The sequence below is a fragment of the Homo sapiens genome, chromosome 12 (assembly GCF_000001405.40).
Source record: "Homo sapiens chromosome 12, GRCh38.p14 Primary Assembly".
Taxonomy (NCBI): Eukaryota; Metazoa; Chordata; class Mammalia; order Primates; family Hominidae; genus Homo; species Homo sapiens.
The window spans coordinates 52,298,797-52,321,820 of record NC_000012.12 but is presented as its reverse complement, the minus strand read 5'-3'; the positions used below and the strand labels follow the sequence as shown (position 1 = coordinate 52,321,820).

The following is a 23,024-nucleotide window of genomic DNA, read 5'->3' as shown; positions in this document are numbered from 1 at the left end:
CTCCTTGGGACAGGCCAGCCACTCCACCCCAGGGCTTGGCCATGGGTCCAGGGCCCATAGCCTAGCTCTGCCCCTTTCAGAACAGGGTTCAGAGAGCAGGCTTTACCCCAGGTCACTGCACCCATTCCCCTCGCTTGGACCGCAGAATGCAACTAATGCTTTCAGGAACCCCTCTCCCCGCTCCACAGCAGTGCCAGTGGGAGGGGCAGGAGCAAGGAGGAAGCTTATAAAGGGCTTTGAAGATGAAACAGGGCCCGTGGCCAGGGATTGTTGATGCAGCCACACTGAAGAGGCAAGCAGGGTTCTAGCTTAAGAGGCCAGGGTGATGCCAAGCCAATAAAATTCAGCTATTGTCTCTTTGCTCCCTCTTTTAACACCAGCTGCCCCTGGCACATAAAAGGGCCTGCCATCAGCCAGGGAGCACAGGCCCTTGGTTCCATCCTCTGCCATCTACTCCACTGTTCAGACACCTCCTAACCTCCGTCATGACCTGTGGCTTCAACTCCATAGGCTGTGGGTTCCGCCCTGGAAACTTCAGCTGTGTCTCTGCCTGCGGGCCCCGGCCAAGCCGCTGCTGCATCACCGCCGCCCCCTACCGCGGCATCTCCTGCTACCGCGGCCTCACCGGGGGCTTTGGCAGCCACAGCGTGTGCGGGGGCTTCCGCGCCGGCTCCTGCGGACGCAGCTTCGGCTACCGCTCCGGGGGCGTGTGCGGACCCAGCCCCCCATGCATCACCACCGTGTCGGTCAACGAGAGCCTCCTCACGCCCCTCAACCTGGAGATAGACCCCAACGCGCAGTGCGTGAAGCAGGAGGAGAAGGAGCAGATCAAGTCCCTCAACAGCAGATTCGCGGCCTTCATCGACAAGGTGGGTGTCGTCCTGGATCACACCCTTCCTGAACCCCTACTCATGTTCAGAACTCAGGCTGGGCACTGACAGGGAAGTCAAAGGCAAGAACTTGCCCACAGAAGTTCCCAGGCCAAAGGGAAAGGTAGTCATACTTCTAGGACACAGACAGAAAGACAAAAATGGGACCGGGAGCTACCAGACTGATGGGGGAGATTAACTGAAAACACAAAAGCAGAACGAGGGGCAGAGCCTTCCACACTGAGTGATAATATCACCTAGTGAGCAAAGGACCACTGTGTGGGCGCTCAGGGCATTTGAAGCCAAATAACTGCTTAAATGCCAAGGAGATGCTGTCTCCATCAAGGCAGGGCTAATAAGTGTGGTGCTGGAAAACTGTCTGGAAGTGGGTCTCGTGGATGGCACAGAACTCTTTCTATACCACACAGTGATTTGGCCACTGAGCAGGGTCTAGAGTATTTTGTCCAAGCCACTGTTCCTGGGGCTCAGGATCCAGGGGTGAGCAAGAGTCATGGTCCCCATCCTCACAGGCTTTATGGGGAGGCAGGCAGTGCACAGTCTGGGTTTGGTTGAAACCATCTGTGTAGTCAGTGTCCAACTAGAGTTTGCAGCCACCTTCTCCACTGAATCCAGGCAACCACCATGTGGCAGTGATGTGAGAGACTGGGAGAAAAGGCTCTGACTAGGAACATGTTCTGGGGTTGGAAAGAGCCCTCCAGAGCCAAAACCTCAAGAGAGGAGTCACACTAGAGAGATGCCCACCAGAAAGGATCGGGAAAAAAAAATGTGGAATTTCTAATAGCATGAGAGACCAAGGATAGCATAAGATAGGACCTACCAAGGGTGTGGCCAAGTTATTAGACAAAAGAAGCTGAGTGGAGTAGTGGGCCAACCTCATCGCTGGGAGAGGGATGTTCCTATAATTGTCAAAGGGAGAGAAGACACCCCCTGCAGCGCAGAAGATCGGAGTTTGAGCTCTTCTCTGCCACTGTGAGCTCTCAGGCAGTCAGGGAACCTCCTTGGCCTCATCAGTAAAATAAGGGGGTTGGAGCACAGGACATTCCTACTCTCATATTGCAGGTGACTATTATTCTAATTGCATTGTTGTTGTAGGGTTTGAATAATTGGCACATGCTTTATTTTTCAACTTTTACAGTTTGCCTTTCTAAAAAGGTCCACCTGGCTTGGTGTGATTGAACAGCAGTAGCTGTTCAGTGTGGGGTGCCTTTCTGTTAAAGGGTTCTTTTAATCCTCATAGTAAGGTGAGCTTTAACCTCGCCACTCTACAGAGGAGGTGAGTGCTTTATCCAAGGGCACAATGTTAACAAGTGGCAGCAGAATCTGGACTCTTCAAGCATTTTCCATGACACCAGGTAAACTGACTTAGAAGAGATTAACTCCCAGGAAGAACTTCCAGGTGGTGAACTGGTTAAGCCCTGGTGGCATTTTTGAGAGAGATGACATAACGCCTTCCAGGGAAGACTCTGGGTCAGAGAGTTGGGGGCTTTCAGGCCCTCGTGCTGGGAACCCCTCTTTGTCCTCTGATGCTGCAAGAAGAGGTTCTTAGGCTCTGCCTCTGGGTGGCAGGTGCGCTTCCTGGAGCAGCAGAACAAGCTGCTGGAGACAAAGCTGCAGTTCTACCAAAACCGCGAGTGCTGCCAGAGTAACCTGGAGCCCCTGTTTGCTGGCTACATCGAGACTCTGCGGCGGGAGGCCGAGTGCGTGGAGGCTGACAGTGGGAGGCTGGCCTCAGAGCTCAACCACGTGCAGGAGGTGCTGGAGGGCTACAAGAAGAAGTGAGTGTGGGCAGGAGGGGTTCTGGGCACAGGAAATAGCATGGTGGCAGCTCCCTGAGCCCGGAGGAGTATCCAGTCTGCAGCTGGCATCTCTGCCTGAGAGTGGAGAAGAACCTGTACCCCCTGTTTGAGACACAGGGGTCCCTTGGGTGTGGGGGATGGAGGCTCAGCTTGTCTTTCCACCAGCAGATCAGGGAAACAATGCTCTCTCCCTTTCTCCATCCATTTTTCACAAAAACTTGTATTCCTGGGTCCCTTTGAGACCAGATCTCAAAGTCCTGGACATGTGTCTTCCTAAGTTTGCTCTCTCACTCAGCTAACACTATCTGATCACCTACCACATGCAGCACGCTGTGCTGGTGATAGTGACACAGGGCCACGCAAGCCACACAGTGCGGGTTCTTGTGGAGCCTGCAGTCTGCTGGAAGGCAGTCATGACAGAGCCACAGATCTAGCCCTTCAGCTACAAAGTGTGATATATGGTATGAAGAATACGCACTGGATCCTCAGAAGGAATCTGCTTTTGAGGGGTGGCCAGCTTCCTTCAGTAACATTCTCTCCATGGACTCCCCAGGCCCAGCATACCCCTCCCTCCCTGTCTCTGAGCTGCCTCCCACAGCTCAGGCCAGGAGGGGAGAGACAGAGCGAGGATCCCACCACCTGCAGCTGAGTGGGGGCAGGGGAGGGCTCGAAGGAAGAAAAGATGGAGACCTAGGCGAGAAAAACAGCACCTCCCACTCCCCAACCACACACATTCACACACTCAGCTTCCAGATCCTGCTCTCCCAACCTCCACCAAAACAGGGGAGTGAATTAGCCAGGCGTGGTGGTGGGCACCTGTAGTCCCAGCTACTCGGGAGGCTGAGAGGGGAGAATGGCATGAACCTGGGAGGCGGAGCTTGCAGTGAGCCGAGACCGCGCCACTGTGCTCCAACCTGGGCGACAGAGCGAGACTCCATCTCAAAAACAAAAACAAAAAAAAACAGGGGAGTAGGCACTTCATTTCTCCAGTGCATCCCAGTAGTACCCAGGCCAGCAGCCTGGTTCCTGCAGAGCCCCACCCATTTCACTTGGGGGCAGGAGACAAGCAGGGGGAGGTCTAGGAAAGAGACTCCTTTGCATATATGCTCATGGCCAAGATCAAGAGCTGTTCAGACAAGGTCCTGTTCTCCCTGCTCACCTCAGGTATGAAGAAGAAGTAGCACTTCGAGCCACAGCAGAGAACGAGTTTGTGGCTCTAAAGAAGGTGAGTGAAGCCCAGCTGGCCCTGAGCCCGCCCTGAGTCCCGCCACCCATCCTCTTTGTCCTGCCACATGGCAGCCAGGTCCTCAGAGCCCTCTGAGGAAAGCCGGCCTCACAGCCCCTTCTACCCCACCCAGGATGTGGACTGCGCCTACCTCCGCAAGTCAGACCTGGAGGCCAACGTGGAGGCCCTGATCCAGGAGATTGACTTCCTGAGGCGGCTGTACGAGGAGGTGAGGGGCTCTCAACCATGGTGGGCACAGATCCCCCCATGGGATCCCTGACCCTCTGCCCAGACACCCACAGGCATGAACCAGGCCTGCTGACATATGAACCCAGGCTCACGGCTGGAGGGTTGGCAGGGAGCAAGGAGAGGGAAGGAACAGGGAGGCAAACGGATGGAAAGCCAAAAAGGAACAAATTTAGTAAGGGGCAGGAGAGTGAGCACCCCAGACACCTGTGCCTTGGGAACCTGCCCTGCATCCTTCCCCTGAGCCAGTGGACTGCAGCATAGACCCCACACAGCATCAAACAGAATTGAACCCATTGCTCTGGCCCAGGGCTTTCTCTGGCAGCAATAGCCTTCCTACATGGGGTTGGTCTAGGAGAATGGAAAGAGGCCCCCCATACAGGGTCTGAGCCCCTGGAAAGCATCTGGACCATGCTGGCTGCACATGGGCCTGAATAATTCCAAAAGCAAGCAGTTGAGAAGTGGTTGTGTTTTCCTCTAAAGGGATTTCCTATTTGTGCAGAAAGTTATGTGATTTCATCAGGTTTGTTTCTCTAAACATGAGAAGTTCACTCCCGATGAGCCAAAAGGATGATAGGCATCCAGGGATTAGGAGAAGCCCAGATAAGTGAGTTGTCCTTCCTTTCCCCACCTCCTGCAGGAGATCCGCATTCTCCAATCCCACATCTCAGACACCTCCGTGGTTGTCAAGCTGGACAACAGCCGGGACCTGAACATGGACTGCATCGTTGCCGAGATCAAGGCACAGTATGATGACATTGCCACCCGTAGCCGGGCTGAGGCCGAGTCCTGGTATCGCAGCAAGGTGAGCGGCACAGGACACCTGCCTGCTAGACATGGCAGTGGGAGGGATGTGAGGTATCTAGTAGAAAAGGCTTCTTTGTCTAGGGATTCTGATCCCTAAGGATGGTAAGAGAAAAACCAATAGCTCTCATGTTGGGGTGGCAGGGCAGGACTGCCACGTGTGGTTGCACAGGCCGAGCACTGCACAATCTGTGCAATCATCTGAGCTGTCCTGAATGAATGGGATGTCTCATCCTGAGCCTCATGAACATCTCTGCTTCCTGCAGTGTGAGGAGATGAAGGCCACAGTGATCAGGCACGGGGAGACCCTGCGCCGCACCAAGGAGGAGATCAACGAGCTGAACCGCATGATCCAGAGGCTGACAGCCGAGGTGGAGAATGCCAAGTGCCAGGTACCAGAGCCCGGCCCACCCCTCAGTGTAGGAAGAGACTGGGGTTAGCCCTCGGCAGAGGGATTTGAGTTAGATTCTGGAAAAGTCTTCCCAGTGCAGTCTCATGGGTGACAGAGTAAGATGAGAAATCTACTGAAATATTTCTGATTGTCTTGGCCAAGGTGTGTGTGTGTATCTGTGTGGTGTGTGTGTGTGTGTGTGTGTGTAGTGTAAGTGAGGAGGGAAGGAAGGTTAGGAAGCTGATTGGAGAGATAATATTTTAAGATAGAAGTTGAATGATCCTATTGGAGACTGGCTGGGATTTCAAGAAACTAAACTTCACTTTATCCTCTCCATATTCCCCCTACCTCCCAGAACTCCAAGCTGGAAGCTGCGGTGGCCCAGTCTGAGCAGCAGGGTGAGGCGGCCCTCAGTGATGCCCGCTGCAAGCTGGCCGAGCTGGAGGGCGCCCTGCAGAAGGCCAAGCAAGACATGGCCTGCCTGATCAGGGAGTACCAGGAGGTGATGAACTCCAAGCTAGGCCTGGATATCGAGATCGCCACCTACAGGCGCCTGCTGGAGGGCGAGGAGCAGAGGTGGGTCCAACCCAGCCCTAAGCACTCCACTTGCATAGACCTGCCCACCTTTGATTTTTCCCTATCTCAGTCTCAGTCCCCAGGTGACATTCTTGCCTCTATGGATCCCAGATCCATATCTTCAAGTTGTCTCATTCTCAACTCTTCCAAGATCCATACCCTGCCTGGTTTCTTGGACATCACCTATTCTAGGGCAGGGTTGCTGGCCAAACTCCACCCCTGACCTCGTCTTCCCAAGAGGGCCTTCTCCTTCTGAAAGTTGAGCCTATCTAGACCTGACAGATATGGTTGTTCAGGTTGTTCACTGCACAAAGGCAAATAACAGCTGAGAGACAAATAAGAATTGAAATCCAACCATACTCTACTTGCTAAATAGTGTGACCTGACGTTGCTTCAACTGCCAGAAAGGCAACTTTTTCTAAGCTGCACAAGGGAATAAATGTAGGTCAGAAATAGCCCTGAGATGACCCATTTCAGCACCTAGCGGAAATTCGATGACCTCATTCTGACTTCTTTTATCTTCCCCTTCCTTACTTTTTCCCCACTCAGGCTGTGTGAAGGTGTTGAAGCTGTGAATGTCTGTAAGTATCTTGAGCCCTGAAAAGGAAAATGTAGACTGGGGACAAAGGACTTCTTGACTATGAATATATGCAGAGACTTTGGGAGGAGTGTTTCCAATAATTCCCCCAGTAAAGAGGATAGGTTGGTCATGCAGCAAGACAGACTGAGGTTAGCTCGCAGGAAGAACCTCACAGCCTGAATGTGTTGGGGAGGGGAAAAAATAATAAGATGTCATTGCAAGAAGGGACCTCAGATGTCATTCATAACCTTCACCTTATATAGGTGAGAAAGCTGAGGCCCAGACAGAGGAAAGGACTCCCAAAGTCACAAAGCAGAACCAGGACCAGAACCCCGGTCTGCTGGCTCCCAGGCTAGGGTTCCCTCCTTCAGAATAGAACTGGAGGCTCTTTGCATCCTTCCCTGGATGGTCGACACATCAGACAGACCAAAGGAAGGTGGCTGGATGGGATGGCCATCAGCAGGGGTCTCTTGACCCTGCCCTTGTTCCCACAGGTGTCAGCAGCTCCCGGGGTGGGGTTGTGTGCGGGGATCTCTGCGTGTCGGGCTCCCGGCCGGTGACGGGCAGCGTCTGCAGTGCCCCCTGCAACGGGAACCTGGTGGTGAGCACTGGTTTGTGCAAGCCCTGTGGCCAGCTGAACACCACCTGTGGAGGGGGCTCCTGCGGCCAGGGGAGGCATTAAGTGGCCCAAAAGAGAGCCAGGGGAGCCCCTTCTGCCTGCCAGACGTGCCACTGCCCCACCACCAGCTGAAAACAGCAGCACATCGCTGGCTTTTCCCCTTGTGTTCTGAGAATACACCATCGGCTCATTCCCACCAGCGGCTCCTCCCCACCTTTCATCCCACTGGAAAGGGGCCTGTGGCTGGGGAATAGACCCATTCCTTCCCCTGTCTCAGCCTTCAGCCCCTCCCGGGGAGAAGGGCCTTGCTTCCCTGGAAGAAGCACTGTGAGACTGTTCCCCCTGCCTCTCTGGCCTCTTGTCTCCCCTTTTCCAATAAACTTGGGGACCTGCTTTGTGTGCTGCAATGTCTTGCTTTCTTGGGGTTCCCCACACCCACCAAGTGGTGAGCACCCCAGCCTGATGATATGGCCTGAAGACTAGAGTCGTTCTGGCCTGTTCTCCGCCTGGACACCCGTAGGGCCTTGTCCCCAGATGGTTCTGTCATCTCCTGGCCAGGCAGTGCTGACTGTGCTCACAGCACCTTCTACCTGTCACACCTGTCAGTCTGGATGGCTCTGAAGGGGACCGAGGAGGCCAGAAGTCAGCCGGAAGGCAGTGCATGTGCATGCGCATGTTTATATGTGTGCACGTGTATGCGTGCTTGTGTGTGTGTTTGAGTTTTGCCCCCTTCTTGCATACACGGTCCCCACTTTCTCTTCCTAGCATATCTTCACTCTGCCCCCCAGCCATCCTTCCACGTAGGTACCACAGCAACAACCACCAAAAGTGCCAGCAGCCACCCTTGGGGGCTGCCCTGTGTCAGTCTGGACCCCACCCCATTGCCACATCCTCCTCATGCTGCCCACCAAACAGGGAAAGATGAGAGCCTTGGCACCTGCCCCTGGCCCACCCTTCCCCCATGCATACACCTCCTGAGTACCTGGCAGCCTTCTCCACAGCTGACATGAGGACACCTTCTACTCACTCCCTCAACTGCCCCACTCACTGCCCTCATCCGAGATACCTCACAGCTTCAACCCCAAGGCTAAGAGGCTCCTCTGCCCGCTGCTTGGCCCAATCTCTCCTGTCCTCCTCTTGGAAAGCTCTGGAGAGCTCTGGAAGACTTTGAGAAGTCCCTAACCCCACCCTCGAGGAATCAGGCCTGGAACAGTCCTTGCAAGGCTGCAGCCCACCTCCAGGGTAGCGCACTGCCTTCCTTGCTGGCCCTCTTCATTCCTCCCCTTCACCCAGCCCCTGGCCTTTCCCACCCATCTCACCAGGATGTCCTTGGAGGACTCACCCCCTTCCTTTGCTTCCCCTGGAATCTCCAGGCTCCCCAGGACCCTTTAGCCTCCACCCAAGTCCAGGGGCTCCCCAGTGCCTTCTCTCCCTCCCACCTCCCAATTCCTGAGTCTCGGGCCTTTCACCTCCTTGTCTCCCAGGCCAGGCTCTCAGCTCTTCCCAGGCAGTTCTGCTCACTGGCTCATACCTCACCCTGCACCTTGCCTCAAGCATCCAACTACCCCAGGGCCTTTTCCCACCTCTCTGCACTCTCCCCAGGCAGTCATATCAGCCTCTCGCCTTCAGCTACCACCCAAAGTTAATGTCCTCCCTGGTTAAAATCCCCCACCTGGGCTTCAGAGCCCTGATGATTCTCCTCCTACCCTCACTCCTCGGCTTAGACCCAACAGCTCCAGTTCCTACAAGACACCTCCACTTGTCAGTTTTAGAGATGCTTCGAACTCAGCATACCTTCCAGCTTAACTCATTGCTTCCCACCCTCTCAACCGGAGTCTCCTCCAGTCTCTCCTGCCAAGATCATCAACACAGTTGCCCAAACCAGAACCTATGATTTATCCATGCCTGCGCCCTCAATATTCACTAAACCCAAGGACTTCTTTTTCTGCCTCCTAAATAGCTCTCCATCCCCCTCTTTCCTCTCTCCTTACTGCTGCCAGCACACCCAGCCATCACCATTTTGCCTGGAGTCCTGCTCTTCTCCCTTCCATGCCCCACCTCACAGCAGCCAGAGACCTTCATCATACACAAGGCTGAGCTTTCAGTGGGTCACCACTGTCCCCGGGACAAAGTCCAGACTTAAACACAATGTACACAATGTACATCCCCTGTATGTCTAGCTCTGACTGATAGCTCAGTGCCTCTCACTGCTCCCTATTCCCCATTGCCCCCCACCTTTCTCCCCTACTCTGGCTCAAGATGTCCTGAACACCTGTCAAGTGAGGGGTTGGACCAGAGGCTCTGCAGGGGCCTTTTCAGTTCTGCCCGTCTTGGGAAGGGGCTCCGATTTCTCCTCTGGGGTTTAACACTCCCTTCTCAGGGGTTAAGGAGGATACTGTAAGGACTGCCAGCCTCGGGAGGTCATGGACGTGCCACCTGGGGGAACCCAGAGACTCCATGCCTCTGGCAGTGATGCATCTTCCTTCCACCCAACCAGCTCAAGGGGCTAGACAAGATTGTTGGAGCCTCTGGTCCTGAGTCCCTGAGCCCCATCTTCTCCACCACCACTACCACCTCTACACCAAGGAGGGGGTGGCTATGAAGAGCCCTAAGCCTTGGTGCTGGGAGAAAAAGAGAAGCACAGCTGGAGGATTGTTAAGCAGGCAAAGCTGATTACTTCCTAAGGGAGGTAACATTGAAGCTGAGACCTAAAGGAAAACCAGGAGCTCATTTATTCCAACAACAAATCATTATTGAGCACCTGCTGTGTAGCAGGTACTGTTACACAAGCTTGGGTTCCTATAAGTGAAAAAAAAAAATAGTTAAAGATGCTTGTCCCTGCAAAGCTTACATTTGAAAGCAAGAAGTGAACTGAAGTAAGGAGTTAGCCAGGATGAGAGATGTGCTCCAGACATGGGAACAGTATGTGAGAGATAAAGATGGAGCTGGAAAAGGAGCATGGGGCCATCCAGGAGCTCTGATGCGTCAGGAAGGCCACCAAGGAGAGTGGGGGCTGCTCTCCAATGCCTCTAAAAGCTGAAAATGAGCACTTCGTTCCTACCTCCTCCTCCGTAGCCCCTCCTACCCCAGCTCCAACTCCATTCCATGAAAGCTTTCTTCACCCAAGAGCATTTCTCATTCCTCCTTCCTTCCAGGCACTTTTCCAATCCTCTTGCAGAGGTAGATGCTATGGGCCAATTCATGAGGCCTTCCATGCTTCACAGAGAGCCAGCTGCCTCTTCTCCGGAAGCTTCCTGCTGGCTGCTGAGGAATGTGAGCTAGCTGGATGGTGGATCCCTCTGTGCTGACAAGCCTGAGATAGTGCCAGTGTGGTAGTGCCAGTACCCAGACTAACAGTGCTGTGACATCCACCCTTCTCTGCACACCAGCTGAAGCTCTCATTCACTCAGTGGGCTGCTGCTATCACCTGCCTTTAAGTGGGTAAACTACCCGAGGCTCCAAAAGCTGAAGGAGCTTGGCCACACACTCCTGCTGACAAAAGCTAGGATGTCAAACCTCCAGCTCCCAGTATTTCCTACCAGCCCACTCTGCCCCTGCTATTCAGAGGCTGAGAATGCTACACTGTTATGATGTCATGGTAATAGTAATAACAACAAGAGCAGTCATAAACACTAATTGTTTAGTATCTGTTGTATGCCACACTATACCTCAAACTTATTTGTGTTGTCTCATTTAATCGTCCTGTGGTAGCTATCTTCAGAGATGAGCCCCCAGCAGCTCCTCCCTCTCTGTGCATGGCACTGCTCATATCAAAAGTGGAGCCTGTTTTTCCTCCCCTTGATCTTGGGCTGGCTCCATGACTGCTTTGACCAATAGAATCTGATGGAAAGCACCTTCTGCAGCTTCCGTGCCCAGATGGCCTCAAAGGGACTGGAGCACGTAGGGAAGAACAGAGGCCCTGGCCATCAGCTCCTGAGCTCTTGACCAGAGCTAGCTCCAAATGCCAACCGTACAAGTGAAGCCATCCTGGACCTTTCAGCAGTACCAGAGCCCCAGTCAATGATATGAAGCAGAAGAATCACCTAGGCAATTCACACAACTATGAAAAATATTGTTGTTTTAAGCCACTAAATTTGGGGATGTCTTGTTACATAGCAATAGATAAGTGGAGGGCAAGTTGGTACCTGGCAGAGAGATGCTACTGAAACAAAACTCAAAACCTATGTCTTTGACTTTGGGCCCAGGCATCAGGCAGAGCCTAAATTTGCTCAAGGAGACAATTAGTGAAAGCTGGAGAGCCAGCAAAGAAATTATCACTGGATGCTGGAGAAAAGGCCTGGGGGTAGGGGCTGCTTCTTATGGCTGCAGCTGCTGTGGGCTTTAGAGTTCTTGCTTTTTACTGGCCAATCTCTGTTATGGTTAATAATGCTTTATGTTAAACTTTCTCTGTTCAAATTATTGTCTTCTGATTGGACCCTGACTGATACACCCTGGCCAAGCACGTCACTTGAACTCCCAGCTGGTGGCCAGCACCAAGTCCAGCCATGTGAGATTTTGGCCATATTGGGCCTTTCAGACATTCTAGCCCTCCAAACAACATCATGTAAAATAGAACTCCTCAGTAAACCCACAGAATCTGAGGCATGATAAAGTATTGCTGTTTTAAGCCTCTCCATGTGGGTGACTTGCTGTGTGTAATAGATATCTGAAACACCTCCCTATGGCCCAGTAGATATCATCATCCCGTTCTAAATGTGAAGGAACTAAAGCTCAGTGAGGCTTAGTGATTTGCCCACAGTTACAGACTAGTAAATGGCTGAACCGGCACTCAAACTCAAAGGGCATTAACATAGCCCTTTCAAACACAATCTCACATAGGGAGCTAGAAGGATCTTAGGAATACTGTCCAATCTCCCCATTCCACAGCCAAGGCAGCTGAAGATCAGGGGATGGAAGCAATTTGCCCAAAGTCACACATGTGGCAAATGGCCATCAAGGCTCGGAATGAGAAGCCCAGTTCTCCTCTCAACCCAAGGCTCTTCCTCCCTGCACAGTGCTTCTCTCACATACCTTCCTTCCATTCTTACCCCGTCTTTTTCCCCATGCACTTTCCCCTCCAGGAAGGCCCTGGGGTGGGGGCGGCGGGTGATCACCTTGGTTGAGAACCCCTAGAAAACATATGGCCACATCTAGAGACATTTTTAGTTGTCACAAGAGGGTGGTGGAGGACCCTTGGCATCTAGTGGATTGAGGCCAGGGATGCTACTAAACATCCTACCAAATGCACGCGACAGCCCTAAAACAAAGAATGACCCAGCTCACACTGTCAATAGTGCTGAAGTTGATAAATCCTGGTCTAGAGAAACCCATGACCCCATAAGATTCCCTGGCTCCGTGAGTCTTCTCTCGTTTTCCCCAAGGCCTGGGCTGCTCAAGTACAGATGGGCAGCACCTACTGTGGTCATTTTTAGCTACTGAAAAATAGTGGATAAACAGGTCCTGAGGCGCTCTGGCAGGAGCCCCTATCACAGGAAGGCCCTGGCATTTTCAAGACTCTGAGACACTAGGCTTGATTCGCTACAATGAGTTTATTGGAAACACAGAGTGAAACAAAGACAAAGGAGAAGGCAGCAGAGTCATTAGTTTTTCAGAAGCTCTTGAGGGCAGCCCCGGAAGGGAGATGTTCTCCCCACACGCGTGGGCCTGTCCCTCGCAGAGTCATAGAACCACTATCCAGGGTCCGCGTCTCCATTCCACAGGCAAAAGCACATGGGCAGAGTCCCAGGTCGTGCAGACAGGGACATTCCCGGGCCTCCCCCGTTCCTCCAAGCTTTGGGGAAGAGCTCAGGCAAGACCAATGTATACAGCAAAAAAAACAGAAGGCAGGCGGAAGAAAAAGATGAATCCTCGGGACAACAAATTGACTACCAGGAAAGGCTACAGAGAGAGACCATGGCGCCTCCCGGCCCTCCCCGGACTCCTGCGACCGGGGATGGCTCCCGGAGCGGAGCGGTGGGGAGGGCGCTTAGAGTGCAGGCAGCGGGCGGCGGCTATTGGGAGGCCGGCGCGGGCGGCGCGTTCTGGTGGCGCGAGGTACTGGCTGGGTGGAGAGTGACGGCGACAGGCGCTGGCGGAGGCGGCAGCCTCCTAGCACCTCTTACAGCTGCCGCCGCAGACGCCAACCCGGGCGGAGGGGGCGCAGGCGTTAGTAGTGCCCACCACCACGTTGCTGTTGCTGGGGACGCTACTGACTCTGGTGGAGACAACAGGGGCAGTAGTGGAGGCGCAGAGATCGCCACAGACAACGCCACCGCGGGAGCTGCTGACGCCTGCAGGGGAAAGAGACGGAGGCGCGCGTCAGGCGCAGCCGCGACCTGGGTGAGTGGCTTTGCTGCGAGCCCACGCGCCCTTTGCCCAGAGGCTCCCAGACCCGCCCAGCGGGAGGAGGGGACGGACCCCACTACTTACAGACATTCACCGAGCCGACGCCCTCGCACAGCCTGCAGGGAGAGAAGGCGAGAGGTCAGTGCCGCGGAAAAGGCGCCGGGCCCCCGTGACTGAAGTGGAGGGGGACATCTGTGGCCCTCCATCTGGGCACTTGCCCAAGGGAAGGGGCAAGAAATGCTCTCGGCCAGGAGCCAGTGTAGACTCGGGTCACCGTGAGGGTCTGGAGACAGAAGGCCTGTGAGTGCCTCGCTCTCCACTGCTTCTGAGCTGTGCAACCCCAGCTTGGGCCAACCTCAGCCTAGGCTTCCTCATCAGGAAAACCTACTTCGTAGATCTCTTGCGAGGACTGAATCAAATAAGAAGCGTCCAGTGCTTAGTGCCTGGCTCATAGCCCTTAAGAGCTATTAGCTGCCACTACCTCGAAGTTGGTTCTGACTGAATTGCAGGTGCATTTGAGGGGAGCAGATTTAACTTCTGAAATCCAGTCTGATTGGTGTCATTAGATTATAGGCATCAGGAGGGTAGACATTTTTGTCTATTCCTTCCTGCACCACCTAAAAACAATGCCTGGCTCAATACAAAACTGTTAGATAAACAAATGGGATTTTAGAACAGGCTCAGAGACTGCCCACCACAGTCCTCTCATCCGGCAGATGGAAAGGCTGAGGCCCAGAAGGAGGACATATCCAATGACAAGGCAGGGCTGTCACCCCAGACACTCATTTCTACCCACCCCACATTTCCCTCCCAATAGCTTCCCCTAAGGGAAGAAAATGGAGTTCCCCTGAAAGCACACTGGCCAAGGATTGGTTAAATCAGCTTCAGATAAGAGAAGCCATGGCCACCATCAAATCATTCCATGCCCAGGTTCCCTAGGTAACACATACCAAAGCTCCTGAGTTCACTCCAAGAGCCCCGTGTGATGGAGGAGTGGGCCACTCAGATTCCAATGCCATCTCCATGTGTTTCTCCAACTTCCAAATTCAGACTTGGAAAACTCCTCCTCCCAGAATTCTTCACTTATGAAATTCCCCAGGCCCAGCCAGACAGACCCCTGCCTCTGAGCTTTCCAATGGAACAACTCGAGTTTGGTGGAAATCTCGTCATATGGTCACTTTAGTTTCTAGGTCCCAAACCTGTGTTCCCCATTTCCCAAATAAACAAGATGCTCCCTCTGCATCCCCAACCTTCACCCTCCTCTCCCCAGGGCCAAGGGCCTGACTGTCCACAAAAAAAAAGGAGCTTCGAGTGAGACCAACTGACCAACTAGGGGAAAGAAACCAAGGGCAAAGAATGAGCTCACATTCTGGGAGTGTTGTCCTTCTGGGAGCAGGAGCTGTATAGCTGCCCTCCAGCTGTATCGCTGGCCTCCAGCCATAGGAAGGCTGAGTGACCAATGGGTCTTCTCCACTCCCCCCACCTCTGAAGCAAGCAAACAAGCAAAAATCCTGAAAGCAAGGCATAACTGCCCCAAGGGATAAGTCCTTGCTCTCTGCCTAACTCATTCCCACCTGCCACAATGGAATACCACTTTGGGATGCTCATTGGCACTATAATAGAAAAGCATGAGTTGATAGTGTCATCTATCTGAAGCTGTCCTTATGGGATACATCTGAACTCCCAGGTCTAGATGGGGCCAGGGCCAGACTAGGAAAAAGAGAAGGAATCCTGAGAAGCACATGCAGCTACAGCTGGAAGGGAAGAAGCACTACCCAGGCAAGCTGACCCCAAGCCTTAATTAGGCTTCTCAGTAACAGGAATACCTGCTGCCAGATTACTGGATCTCAACTGAGATGAACAAGACTGCAATCTCAGATCAGTGCCTGGGTGAACATGAGAGACTCAAACGGGGCTAGATCATACTTAAAGGACTTACACAAATTACCTGTCTGGTTGCAGGGTGGGGAGGTTAAGAAACAAAACTTAAATGCTGCCAGGAGTGTGAGGACAGAGCACACTGAGAACCCTGGCAGGGCTGGGAAAGGGAAAGGTCTATGGGACCCACCTCTGCTCCTCGCCCTCCAGCAGGCGCCTGTAGGTGGCGATCTCGATGTCCAGGCCCAGCTTGGAGTTCATCACCTCCTGGTACTCCCTGATCAGGCAGGCCATGTCCTGCTTGGCCTTCTGCAGGGCACCCTCCAGCTCGGCCAACTTGCAGCGGGCATCGCTGAGGGCCGCCTCACCCTGCTGCTCAGACTGAGCCACCGCAGCCTCCAGCTTGGAATTCTGAAGAGAACAGAGAGAACAAGGTAGATTAGAGTCCCTGGGTCTCTCTGATGCTTACCTCGATGAGACCATGCTCCCCACCAAGCTGGGAGCACCCCAGAACAGAGCCTCTTGCCTTCATCACCTGGGACTCACAGAGACCACAACCAGGGACTCTACATGGACAGAGGGGCTGGAGAATGAATGCTGAGATCCAGATAGGGCACACATAGGCTGTGTGACCATGGTTAGACCCTCGGTCTCTCTGACCTTGGGCACAGATGCCCCATACCTGGCACTTGGCATTCTCCACCTCAGCCGTCAGCCTCTGGATCATGCGGTTCAGCTCGTTGATCTCCTCCTTGGTGCGGCGCAGGGTCTCCCCGTGCCTGATCACCGTGGCCTTCATCTCCTCACACTGGGGGAAGTAGAGATGCTCATGAGGTTCAGGGTGGGACCTCCCACCCATTCAGGGCATGACAGATGATTTTGCAGGTTGTGCAGTGCTCAGCCTGTGCAACCACACATGGCAGTCCTGCCCTACCACCCCAACATCAGAGTGGCAGCCATCTCTTCTCATCCCTAGTGCATCCCCAGAAAAGGAAGCCTATTTAATAGATAATCTCAAATCCCTCCCACTGCCATGTCTAGCAGGCAGGTGTCCTGTGCCACTCACCTTGCTGCGGTACCAGGACTCGGCCTCAGCCCGGCTACGGGTGACAATGTCATCGTACTGTGCCTTGATCTCGGCAATGATGCAGTCCATGTTCAGGTCCCGGCTGTTGTCCAGCTTGACAACCACGGAGGTGTCTGAGATGTGGGACTGGAGAACGCGGATCTCCTGCAGGAGGTGAGGGCAGTGACTTTAGTTGAGAACACAGCCCCACCCACCATGTCCTGACTCCACCTCCTCAGGCTTTCTCTGGTCCCCAACCCTGCCCCCTCACACAGCCTCAGGGACTGCAACCTCTACCCACATCCTGTCCAACACTCCCACCCCCATCTCTCCTCTCTGCTGGCTGCCAGGTCTCTGCCTGGCCCCTGAGCCCGCACCTCCTCATACAGCCGCCTCAGGAAGTCGATCTCCTGGATCAGGGCCTCCACATTGGCCTCCAGGTCTGATTTGCGGAGGTAGGCGCAGTCCACATCCTGGAAAGGTGGGGAGTGTTGGAGCTCAAGGACCCTGGTGATCCAGCCTCTAGATTCCTCTCTCTTCCCACCCATTCCATGAAGCCTGGGGAAAGGAGTCCCCAGTGTCTCATTCCCATGCCCTCTCCTTCCCTTCTGGCCCTTCCCGGGGTGACCTGGCATCCTCTGCCATTCTGAGGACAAACCCTGTTTGTCTTGGGCACGGCTCACCAGCCTTTCACTGCTCCTTACCCTCTTATCTCTCCTTTCTCCCCTCTCCTGCTCCAGGAAGCCTGCCCAGACTGACCCCCCAGCTCTCACACCCTGACCCTTTCCTGTCCCCCAGCAGTGCTCCAAAAGCCCAAGGGCTACTCCTGGTTCTTCTCCATCCCCCCTTAGAACCTGGGATTGTGTCTCTGCCTCAAGGTCAGACTCCCCAAAATGCTAGACAGACTGCACTGTCTCTCAGCAGAGACATTGTATCTGCTATGGCTCCAGGGGCCTCAGCAATAGACCACAACCTCTGGAACAGAGCAGGACACACAGAGGACAGTGCAGCCATCCCCTTGCCCAAGGTAGGTGCTGGTAGATATTCCCAAGTCATTGCCCTTTGTCAAGGCCCTGGATGCTCAATACAAAGGCCTGCATCTGGGCAGTCCTAGCCTGCTGTGGAAAGGTCATTGTGCCCCACGCTGAGGTTGAGACCCCCTGTGTGTCCCCAGGAAGAATCTGTCATTCTGAGATCCCACAGATCTGTGCTTCTCAATCCTGTGTCACTTGCCTTCTTCAGAGCCACAAACTCGTTCTCAGCTGTTGCTCTCAGAGAAACCTCCTCCTCATACCTGAGACAGAGCAGAGGGAAGAGAGGGGAGGTCAGGGCAGGGCAGGTCTCTGCAGAGCCACCATCACATCACACTTCATCACAGCCATGGGGACAGTACTAGAAACACCTCCACACAGCCCCGGCCTGGCAGCCTAGCTTAGTGCTTTCTAGTTGGATGTGGGATGTGTCTGGGATTCTCTATCCACTTTGAACTGGGGATGGAGAGTGCTCATCTGGGACCTCCCAGTCCTGTTCCCAAAGGGGCTCTGAGGTCCCCCAGGAGGCAAATAGGACTCAGCCCCCAGCCCCATCCTGGGAGTGGACAGCGTGGACTCTCAGGGCCTGTAGCCCTAGCCTCCCCTCACTGGTATCAATCCCAGCTCAGGTATGGGGCCTCCTGGACCCGCAGACCCTCAGGACTTAGAACCTAAGGCAGTGCGACACCCAGAGCCCAAGACCTGTCACTCATGAGAGACCCTGGGCTCACATCTGACAGGTGCTACAAGTATAGGGGCTGAGGGTCAGGAGAGAAGGCCTGGACCCTGCAGAGGCTTCCTCCCCACCCAGCGCAGGGGAGAGCTGCTGGGTGATGTGGTTCAGGGAGAGAAGGCTGAAGTGGGACAGAGACAGGTCATGGGAGTCACAGCCCTCCTCTTACACAGGTGTCTGGGCAAAGATTCCACAAAGGAAAAGACCCCGCCACCCTCGGTCAATCTAGTGGTCATGGCCACTCACCCTACCTGGGAGTTCTTATTGTCTAATCCAGTGTATTTAACCTAAACCCCATTCCTGTGCCCAGCATCCCTCTTGCCCGCACTCACTTCTTCTTGTAGCCCTCCAGCACCTCCTGCACGTGGTTAAGCTCTGAGGCCAGCCTCCCGCTGTCGGCCTCCACGCACTCGGCCTCCCGCCGCAGAGTCTCGATGTAGCCCTCAAACAGGGGCTCCAGGTTGCTCTGGCAACACTCGCGGTTCTGGTAGAACTGCAGCTTTGTCTCCAGCAGTTTGTTCTGCTGCTCCAGGAAGCGCACCTGCCATTCGGTGTGGGAAGGTGGGGCAGATGGTGTCTGGTGCCCCAAAGCCAGCTCTGGGGGCTCGCAGGGGAGGTGCTTTAATGGGAACCCCCAAATCTGGAGCTTATCTGAGATTGAGTAGAGGTGGGCAGTGGGAGACAGACAATTTCTGGATTTCCTGGTCATGATCTGTGTCTAGATTTCCCACTCAGGAGTGGAGCAAGGGCTGGGTGGTGTCAGTGCCTGCTCCCTGGGGAGTTGAGTGACCCCCCCCCCACCCCCCACCCAAGCAGATGAACAGAAGTAGAGGCTCAGTCCCTCACTATGAAACTAGGTGATCAGCAACCCACACAGGCAGAGTACTCAGGTTCAGATCACAGATGAGGTTTCTGGGGATGGTGCCAGGAAGAGGGTGTCACAGGCCATCTGGAAGGGAGCTCAGCTGTCCCAGCCCTTCCCCTGTGTCATCTGGAAGTCAGTGCACCCTACTCTCTCACCCTGGGGCTGCCCAAACCCCTCTGAGTTCAGCAGCAGTGGTCACATGCCCCCCTCCCCCAACTCCCTGATGTCTAGCTTGTGCCCCAGAGCAGCCTGGCCACACTTTTCCTTCACAAGCTCCCTCTATCTGAACTGTCAGCTGAGTCTGCATCTTGAGTGCCTGTGTGTGTGTGTCTGTGCATGTGTCTGTCTGTCTGTGTGTCTGTGTGCCTCGCCCATCAGACTGGGATCTCAGGCAGGCAGAGGTCTTTGTGCCTCTGACTCCATCCTTAGTGCCCGGCCCTGGCTGTGTAGGTGGTGGGGGTTCAGGAAGGGTGTGATCCAGGACACCCACCTTGTCGATGAAGGCCGCGAACCTGCTGTTGAGGGACTTGATCTGCTCCTTCTCCTCCTGCTTCACGCACTGCGCGTTGGGGTCGATCTCCAGGTTGAGGGGCGTGAGGAGGCTCTCGTTGACCGACACGGTGGTGATGCATGGGGGACTGGGCCCGCACACGCCCCCGGAGCGGTAGCCGAAGCTGCGTCCGCAGGAGCCGGCCCGAAAGCCTCCGCACACGCTGTGGCTGCCGAAGCCCCCGGTGAGGCCGCGGTAGCAGGAGATGCCACGGTAGGGGGCGGCGGTGATGCAGCAGCGGCCGGGCCGGGGCCCGCAGGCCGAGATGCAGCTGAAGGCGCGGCCACCACAGTAAGATCCACAAGTCATGGTGCTTTTTGGGGAAGAGAGGAGGTTCTGAGGATGGAGACGTCCGAATGGAGAGCACAGTGGTCGGGGCGTCAGGCGTTCACTACTTGCACCTCTGTAGGCCTTTTATATAAGTGGGGAGACTGTGACCACGTGGGTCGGAGCAATTAGAAGGCTTTATGGGCTTGGGTTGTTTAGCTGCTGTCGCTCCCCACTTAATGTACTTAATTGGTGCCCAGAAGCAGCCAGATGTTATGATCTCTTGCCCTAAACTGCAGTTTTCTTCTTCAAAGGACCAACTCACGTCCCGCACACCCACCTCAACCTCCCAATACACAGTTGAGGAAACTGACGTTGGACGAAGGAGTGGGCAGTGACTCAGGTTGGAATGGAAGGGAAGGGGCGGGGCTGCTGCTCTTTCTGTCCTGCGGGGTTTGACATGGTCAATGCCGCTGTCCGCGGTGCTCATAGGACTAGCCAGGAATGTTGGGAGGGGGAATCCCTTGATGTGGAACTTGGGGGGCGCTTGGTGGTTTCTCCGAACTAGATGACCTGTTTCTGCACCCCAAAAGACCCACGTTTACAGAATCTCTAACTTAGTCACCTTCTCAGGGACCCAGTTCCTCCACACCTACTCCCAAATCCCTTATCTATACCTATCAACATGTTTTTTTCTCTCTCTCTCTCCCACTCTCTGGTGCACACACACATACACACACAAACTCACACACAATGCACTCACATGCTGGCCTTCCTACTCACAACCCCCCCTCTCTCTTTCACATACACACTCACACACACAATGCTTTCACATGCTGGCCTTTCTACCCACCATCTCACACACACACACACACTCACAGGTCCTCACCTGCACATTCAACTAGCATGTAGACTAGTCCTCAGGCCACCTTATTAGGTCATATTGGCCAGCCTCGGCTGAGAGGAGGCATTCCCTCCCTCAGAGTGTCCCATGCGGCCTCAGGAGCACACACTAGCCCACTGGCCCCAGGAAAGCACAATTACCTCCCACAAGGCCCTAGACAAGGATTGAATGTCTGGATGTCCTCTCAGGCCTCTGTGTAACCTCCAGGGCCTAGAAGGTCTGGGATGAGCACCACTGTTATGCATCTATACAGTATCTGGCTCAGAATATGAGATCAAATAGAGCCACATGAGGAGAGCATCCAGCCCCTGCCATCATCCCCTGAGTCCCTGCTGCTTTCTGCACTATACTCCTTGAAACTCCTGCACAGAAGTTTGTCAGTACCCTTGGCAGGTGCCAGAGAACAGATCTATATTTGTATGTGCCATCCATCCAGTGTGAATAGTGTGGGTCTTAAACTCACAAAGGCTGGGTAGGAACCAAGGCTCTGCCCTGAGTACCCCTGTGTGATCTAGGGGAAGGCACTTGACTCTCCTGGGAAATAGGTTAAGGCTTTCCCTCCTACTACTGCCTTAGAGTTACAGAAATGTGTACATGCTCAGTGGACTCCAGAGCACAGAGCAGATGGGCTTCATTACAATCATTAGGAAGCGGTGGGCTCAGGGGCAGTGTTTATTCAGAATTCATGTTCTGACCCACTAATTGAACCAACCAGAATTTTATTTTAATGAAATTGATTATGAGAAAATCAAATAGAGTAGAATAGACCAGAAAATAGCAGATTGCACCTTATGTCATGGGAATAACTTGTTACATGCCCTTTTTGTTTCAGTTGTATGGCCTATGTATATGTATGTGCATACTCAGTCACCATGTAAAATTATTTCTTATTATAGTTGCAGCAGAAAAGTTGAAATATCTATTTCTCACTGTATACAAAAACCAAATTAAAATGGATTAAAGACTTAAATATAAGACCTCAGACTATGAAACTACTAGAAGAAAACATTGAGGAAATGCTTAGGGCATTGACCTGGACAAAGATTTCTTGATTGAGACCTCAAAACCAAAGGCAACCAAAGCAAAAAATGGGCAAATGGGATCACATCGAGCTAAAAGAACTTCTGCACACCAAAGGAAACAATCAACAAGTTGAAGAAATGACCTACAGAATGGAAGAAATATTTGCAAACTATTCAACTGACAAGGAATTCGTAGCTGCAATATATAAGGAACTCAAACAACTCAATAGCAAGTAAACCAAATAATCTGATTTTAAAATGGGCAAAAGATCTGAATAGACATTTCTCAAAAGAAGACATATACATGACCAACAGGTATATTGAAAATGCTCAACATATCATCAAAGAAATACAAATCAATACCACAATAAGATTATCATCTCAACCCAATTAAAATGACTTTTATCAAAAAGACAAAAAAATTATGGATGCTGGCAAGGATGTGGAGAAAGGGGAACACTTGTACACTGCTAGTGGGATGTAAGTTACTACAGCCACTATGGAAAACAGTATGGAGTGTCCTCCAAAAGCTAAAAATAGAACCACCAGGTGATCCAGCAATCCCACTACTAGGTATACATCCAAAAGAAAGAAAATTCTTATATCAAAGAGATGTCTGCACTCCCACGTTTATTGCAGCGCTATTCACAATAGCCAAGATTTGGAATCAAACTAAGTGTCCATCAATGGATGAATAAAGAAAGTATGTTACAGATACACAATGGAATATTATTCAGCCATAAAAAGGAATGAAATCCTGTCATTTGCAACAACATGGATGGAACTGGAGGACATTATGTTAGGGAAAATAATTGAGGTACAGAAAGACAAATTTCAGATGTTCTTACACATATGCGAGAGCTAAAAAAATTGATCTCATCAGATAGAGAGTAGAATGATGGTTACCAGAGGCTGGGAAGGGTAATGGGGAGGGGAAGATAAAGACGTGTTAATGAGTACAAAAATACAGTTAGATAACAGAAATGAGATCTAGTGTTCAGTAGCACAATAGAATGACTATAGTTAATCATTTATTGTGTATTTCAAAATAACTAAAGGAGTAGGCTTGGAATGATCCCAACACAAAGAAATAATAAATGTTTGAGGTGATGGATATTCCAAGTACTCTGATTTGATCAGTACACAGTTTATGCTTATCTCAAAATATCTTATGTAGCCCATAAACATGTATAACTATTATGTACCCATAAAAAGAAAACATTAAAATAAATAAAT

At 52.8% G+C, this 23,024-nt stretch overlaps 2 protein-coding genes and 1 long non-coding RNA gene across 4 annotated transcripts in view, besides 1 other annotated feature; 1 reads left to right on the top strand and 2 right to left on the bottom strand.

Annotated features, from left to right (window-relative positions):
* KRT83 (keratin 83) lies at positions 423–7,520 on the top strand. Its single transcript, NM_002282.3, has 9 exons — positions 423–869; positions 2,457–2,665; positions 3,851–3,911; positions 4,045–4,140; positions 4,798–4,962; positions 5,228–5,353; positions 5,708–5,928; positions 6,478–6,509; positions 7,003–7,520. Exons 1-9 carry the CDS (start codon positions 486–488, stop codon positions 7,188–7,190), a joined length of 1,482 nt encoding a protein of 493 aa, NP_002273.3. The 5' UTR covers positions 423–485; the 3' UTR covers positions 7,191–7,520.
* On the bottom strand, positions 9,842–10,711 carry LOC124902935 (uncharacterized). The gene is made up of 2 exons (XR_007063313.1): positions 10,189–10,711; positions 9,842–9,926 (listed from the first exon to the last, which is right to left on the bottom strand). It is a non-coding gene; the product is annotated as an uncharacterized LOC124902935 (long non-coding RNA).
* Positions 12,658–23,024, bottom strand: part of KRT86 (keratin 86) — a 34,519-nt gene continuing 24,152 nt past the window's right edge. The window contains exons 3-11 of one of the 2 annotated variants that reach the window (XM_005268866.5): positions 19,536–20,006; positions 18,513–18,721; positions 17,650–17,710; positions 16,794–16,889; positions 16,417–16,581; positions 16,033–16,158; positions 15,541–15,761; positions 13,557–13,588; positions 12,658–13,417 (exon numbers count right to left, since the gene is read on the bottom strand). In XM_005268866.5, coding sequence (XP_005268923.1) covers positions 13,236–13,417; positions 13,557–13,588; positions 15,541–15,761; positions 16,033–16,158; positions 16,417–16,581; positions 16,794–16,889; positions 17,650–17,710; positions 18,513–18,721; positions 19,536–20,006 — 1,563 coding nt within the window. In that variant the 3' untranslated portion in view covers positions 12,658–13,235. The remainder of the gene's footprint in view (positions 13,418–13,556; positions 13,589–15,540; positions 15,762–16,032; positions 16,159–16,416; positions 16,582–16,793; positions 16,890–17,649; positions 17,711–18,512; positions 18,722–19,535; positions 20,007–23,024) is intronic. The other variant, NM_001320198.2, reaches the window with a different exon arrangement.
* Positions 16,689–17,189: an enhancer, noted in NCBI's record as "H3K4me1 hESC enhancer chr12:52698416-52698916 (GRCh37/hg19 assembly coordinates)". NCBI's record gives its function as "activates a minimal SCP1, AML or CMV promoter by ChIP-STARR-seq in primed H9 embryonic stem cells {active_cell/tissue: H9 hESC(primed)}" and the evidence as "EXISTENCE:reporter gene assay evidence [ECO:0000049][PMID:30033119]".

What these genes read in the sequence shown, in the direction of transcription:
- KRT83 (NM_002282.3), top strand. Translation starts at nt 486, where the DNA reads ATGACCTGTGGCTTCAACTCCATAGGCTGTGGGTTCCGCCCTGGAAAC. An exon ending in CTGGAGGGCTACAAGAAGAA is followed by an intron (nt 2,666 to 3,850) that starts GTGAGTGTGGGC and finishes TGCTCACCTCAG; the next exon opens with GTATGAAGAAGAAGTAGCAC. An exon ending in CTGGAGGGCGAGGAGCAGAG is followed by an intron (nt 5,929 to 6,477) that starts GTGGGTCCAACC and finishes TTCCCCACTCAG; the next exon opens with GCTGTGTGAAGGTGTTGAAG.